The sequence below is a fragment of the Homo sapiens genome, chromosome 16, assembly GCF_000001405.40.
Source record: "Homo sapiens chromosome 16, GRCh38.p14 Primary Assembly".
In the NCBI taxonomy this organism is placed as follows: Eukaryota; Metazoa; Chordata; class Mammalia; order Primates; family Hominidae; genus Homo; species Homo sapiens.
Window position 1 is genome coordinate 27,043,829 of NC_000016.10, and position 5,300 is coordinate 27,049,128.

The window sequence follows — 5,300 nt, forward strand, 5'->3', positions numbered from 1 at the left end:
TGCAAGTCTGCTATATAGGTAAACTTATGTCACAAGGGTTTGTTGCACAGATTATTTCATTACCCAGGGACTAAAGCCCAGTACCGAGTAGTTATTTTTTCTGATCCTCTCCCTCCTCCCACCCCCCACCCTTAAGTAGGCCCCGGTGTCTGTTGTTCTCTTCTTTGCGTCCATGTGTTCTCATCATTGAGCTTCCACTTACAAGTGAGAACATGTGGCATTTGGTTTTCTGTTCCTGTGTTAGTTTGCTAAGGATAATGGCCTCTGGCTCCATCCAAGTTCCTGCAAAGACATGATTTCATTCTTTTGTTATGGCTGCATAGTATTCCATGATGTATAATTACCCCCCATTTTCTTTATCCAATCTGTCACTGATGCTTTTGCCCATTTTTTAACAGACTATTAGATTTTTTTCCTATAGAGTTGTTTGAGCTCTTCATATATTCTGGTTATGAATCCCTTGTCACATGGGTATTTTGCAAGTATTTTTTCCTAAATTTGAGTGATTTCTGAGCTGGGTATGCTGACCTGTCTTGCACCACTCAGGGGGACAAAATGGAAGAAATGTCAGCACAGGGAGGGGAGAAACGGAGTCCACATTCACAGGGCCAGATGAAATGTAAAACCTCTTCCATGGAGTAGAAGCCAAACTGGAGTCAACCAGGGTAACACAGCAGAAGATAAGTCTAATAGTAATAAAATAAAAGCAAAAATCCTTGCAGAGGTCTTTGAGGCACTCATTATATTCTTCCCAACCCAATCCCACTCTGAGCTGCTCCTGCTCTTCCCCATGCACACTGGTCTCAGCCACACAGGCCTTCCTCCTCCTCTTCCTCAAGCATTCAAGCTTGTTCTCACCTCAGAATCTTTGTACCTCCTGTTCCATCTACCTGGAGCCCATACCCCTGGGCCAGCCTACTGGAGAATGAGATACCACATGGAGCAGAGACAAACTAACAATCCGTCCTGGCTAAAGCCATCCTATACCAGCAAGGCTCTGGCCAATCTACCAGCTGACCACGAATGAGTCCAGTAAAGATTGGACAAACCTGGCTCAGATCAGCAGAACAACCCAACAAAACTGTTAGAATAAATATTAGTGGTTTAGAATAAATATCACTTCATTTTGGAGTTCTTTCTTACACGGCAATAGCTAACTGATACAAAGGTTGTGCTACCAACTTGCTGTGTAACTAATACAAACATTTATTCTGTCTGCAAATTCCTTATCAGGAAAGCAAGAGAGTCAGAAAAGTTTTAGTCTTTCACTTGCTTTGATGTTTCAACAATATTCTGCATGGGTATGCACTCACATTTTTCTTTTTTTATTGATACATAATCCTTTACATATTTATGGTGTACATGTGAGTATTTGTGGCATATGTAGAATGTATAATGAACAAGTCGGAGTATTTGGGATATCTGTCACTTTGAGTATTTATCATTTCTATGTGTTGGAAACAACTTAAGTTTCCTCTTCTAGTGGCTTTGAAATATACACTACATTGCTGCCAACTATAGTCACCCTACTCTGCTATTCAACATTAGAATTTATATCTTCTATCTAACTGTATGTATGTCCAGTTTACCAACCTGTCTTCATGCCCACCTCCCACCTGCACACTCTTCCCAGCCTCTCATACCTATCATTCTATTCACTACCTCCACACACACTTCCTTTTTCAGGAACTCTTTCTTCCCTTACCTTTTATGACACCACAGTTGTATGGTTCTCCATGTACTTTTCTAGCTTCTAACTCTCTGTTCCTTCTACAGCTCATTCTTCAGTGTCTGGCCATGAAATATTGAAATTACTCAAGATTTGGATCTCAGCCCTTATCTCTCCTCATTGTAAATCTCCCAATGTAAGCTCATTCATACCCTTGGATTCATTGGCTAAACCTAGGTTGCAGGCTTCCCTCTAAATCAGTCACTAAGCAGAAGCAGGATTATGATGTTTGGCTTAAACTAATCATGGTCCATGATTCCTGGGGATCAATGTGCTCGGGAAACCCAGCCTGAGCACAGTGATCCTCCAAAAATGGAATATGACATTGAAGAAAAAAGGAGGAATGACTCTGAGGTGGGCAACTAGGTATGCCTGACTGCCACACTGGAAATGAGGCTCTCATCCTCAAACTCTCCAACTCCCTATAACCTAATCCCTCACCAAATCCTGTGTATGCTGCTTCCCTAACATCTCTCAAATTATTCTCGTCTTTTGCTCCACCTCTAGCACCTATTCCAAGCCCATTTTATCCTTTCCCTGGATGAAGGCGATGACCACTCACTGGCCCCTTCCTTAACCTGTGCTCCCTCCCATTGTCTCTCCTTCATCCAGCAGCCAAAACCACCAACTGACCAAGTTACCTTCCTGCTAAAATTCTGACTTCTCATTGCTTTTATGATGCAGATCAAGGTCCTGCATGGACTGGCTGCTGACAGAAGCCCCTCTATGCCCTTTCTCACTTTCTCCATTGCAGCTACACTGCCCTTGACTCGATTACTAAAGTGGGCCATGCTTCCTCCCACCACACGGTCTTTATACGTACTGTCTCCACTTCCTAGAATGCTCCCACTTCCACTTTTACCTACCTCCTTTTCATTCCGCCCATCTTAGCTCAAATGTCACCTCCTCAGGGCAGCCTCCCTTGGTCTCCTGACTGGGTAAAATGCCCCTATTACACACTCTTAGAGCCCTACGTAACGTTGCTTCATGAATGTGTATCATTGTCATCTTAAAGTAATGCAAACCATTCTTTGAGCAAGAACAGAGAACAATCCTTCAATATAGGTTCAATTACACTTGCAGGTGAAAAACTTCCTCAAGATTCACAGCTAGAAGAGATTGAGCAGAGATCTGAACCCAGGTCAGTCTGACTCCAGAGTCTGAACTCACTCCAATTCCTCAGTGACCTTCAAACTGGATCCCATGGACTCCTGGATTTCAGCAGGAGTGAGGCTCAGGGAATAAGGGAAAACCAAGTAGGGACAGGGCTTTGGGCTTGCTGTCCATCTCTTTGCCCACATGGATCCCCCTAAAAAACATGCGTCCTTATTTTCTCTCCTTATCCACAGCCTTCAACCTACACCATAAACTTGAACCAATCTTGAACTCGGCTTCCTAAACTGTATTTGATTTCTCTGGTTCCTGATCCTATTTTTTGTCCCTGGCCTCCTGCCTGCTCCTTGAATTTGACTCTTGCTGCCACTTTTCAGCTCTGTTCTCTAACCTCCTTTCAAAACTTCCAGCTAGACTCACCCATTAAATAATAATCAGACTCTTCAGACTGATTTGTTCTTCTGACTCCTTCCTGGTCTAGCACCCAATGGTTGATACACACTCTTGGCTCACTGGGGTACCTTGTGACTTTTAATAACACTAATAACTTTGGCAGCTGATTTAGTCTTTCTCTCCACCCTCAAGTCCTTAGGGACTTTGATTTCCAATGTTAATGAACCCATGTCCACATCTTCACCTCCCTGGTGCTTGACTTGCCAGCTCCAATGGAATTCACTTTCCTACCATTTCAGCCACCCACACCCAGGATCATGATATGCTGAATTTCTGCTAGAATATAAATCCCAGCCTCCTACTTACCAACCACAACCTCATATCATTTCAACAAAGCCCTTCAATTGCATTCTTACTCACACTCCCTTCCCCCTCCTCTTGAACCACTCTGCATCATTTATCCCCCCTCTCACTTATACCTTCAACCCATCCCTCTCATGCATCCTCACCATTCAATTCATGATACATTCTTTTCAGGCTAGAAAAACACTAAATCCCTCCTGCAACAGATGCTTTCAGTGTCCCCATCTGTAGCCCCTCAGTTCTTACCATTTTCATCACTTTCATCCAACTTCCAACTGCCATCTCCTGTCTTTTTACGTGAGGACTTTATCTGGCTGCCAGAGCCTCCTTTCCCCATGCACATGGCCTGCTAAAGGTGCCTGGGAAATTAATGCTTCCCCAATCCCCAAGGAACGGAAGCTCAACCAATGACTAAAATTGGTGGATAAATATATCCCAGCTCCCCAAAGTTAATGGGGAATTAACTTTGAATACACAGTCCATACTGTCTTCCAGGGTTACCCAATAAAGTTAAGCTCCATATTCCCACATTCATCTTGCTTGCTGAAATATTCTTTACTGATGTCTCCTTTCTTCACCCGCCACCCATATTGGTGTTTCCTGGGATCATCTCCAAAATAAACCACTTGCACTCAATTCTGTTTCAAGGTCTGCTTTTGAAGGAATGCAGACACCTCCCACAATCCAACATCTCCTCTGGGTCCTGCCCAATCTCTTGCTTGCCTTTCTTAGGCCAGCATATACACTATGTTCATCTCTCTCCCATTCACTCTCCAACGCACTACAGTCTCGTTTCTGCCTCCAGCTTTTTCCTAAATGTATGGAGGTGTCTTCCCTTTTATTTGACCTCCGTGCAACTTTCAACATGTTGCCATTCTCTTCTCACATCTCTCTCCCTTGGCTTCACGACATCACTTTCCTGAACTTCGTACCTCTCTGCCATCCCTCGTCAAGTTCTTTCTCAGCTCTTTGAAACTCCAACCACCCTTTACATGTTGAGACTCCTAAACGCTCCACCACCCTTGGCCTTTTTCTCCTCTTACTCTGAGGTTATACACCCTCCTTGGATGACATCATCCAATTATGAGTCATAGTTGACTTTCCAATTGTTTAATCCATGCAGAGTACAATCCCAAATGTCAGACCTTGACTCCAACTGCCAATCGAATCCCTCCCGCATGTCCTAAACCCAAACCACTATCTATCTTTCCTTGCCCCTCTCTGGTTTATGTCACAATCATCCACACAGTCGTCCAAGCCACTTGGTGTCATCTTAAACTCCTTTCCCTGCTTTATCCCGGATACCCAATTCACCACCCAATCTTGTTGATTCGTCCTTGCAAACATCTCTCCTCTCCATCGTGACCCAGGCCCAGGTCACTGTCATCTCTTGTCCAGATTGCTGCCATAGCCTCTTTACCAGTTTCTCTGCCTCCAATAACCACAATCCAATCAATTCCTTCTGAAACACAAATATCAGCCCCTCCTTCCCCGCTGCTTACAACCCTTCAATGCTCTCACTACCCTCAGGTAAGGTTCAAACCCCTTAACAGCCTTCCAGGACCCTTCCCAATATAGTCCCCTCCTACCTCTCCAGCCTCACCTCTCACCACCTTGCATGCCTTAGCCCAGTGGCTCTCAACCCTGGCTGAACATTAGCATTACTTGGAGAGCTTTAAAAACATACCAATAAATTGACCCT

General features: G+C 44.1%; 1 long non-coding RNA gene across 4 annotated transcripts; it reads right to left on the reverse strand.

Annotated features, from left to right (window-relative positions):
* Window positions 1-246: 246 nt before the first annotated feature.
* On the reverse strand, window positions 247-4,617 carry LOC105371153 (uncharacterized). Of its 4 annotated transcripts, XR_001752326.1 has the most exons (5): window positions 3,845-4,617; window positions 2,596-3,370; window positions 1,706-1,791; window positions 529-686; window positions 247-282 (listed from the first exon to the last, which is right to left on the reverse strand). It is a non-coding gene; the product is annotated as an uncharacterized LOC105371153 (long non-coding RNA). The 4 variants fall into 4 exon arrangements; XR_950951.1 differs by lacking the exon at window positions 2,596-3,370; XR_001752325.1 differs by having other exon boundaries at window positions 2,596-4,617.
* Between the last annotated feature and the right edge of the window lie 683 nt (window positions 4,618-5,300).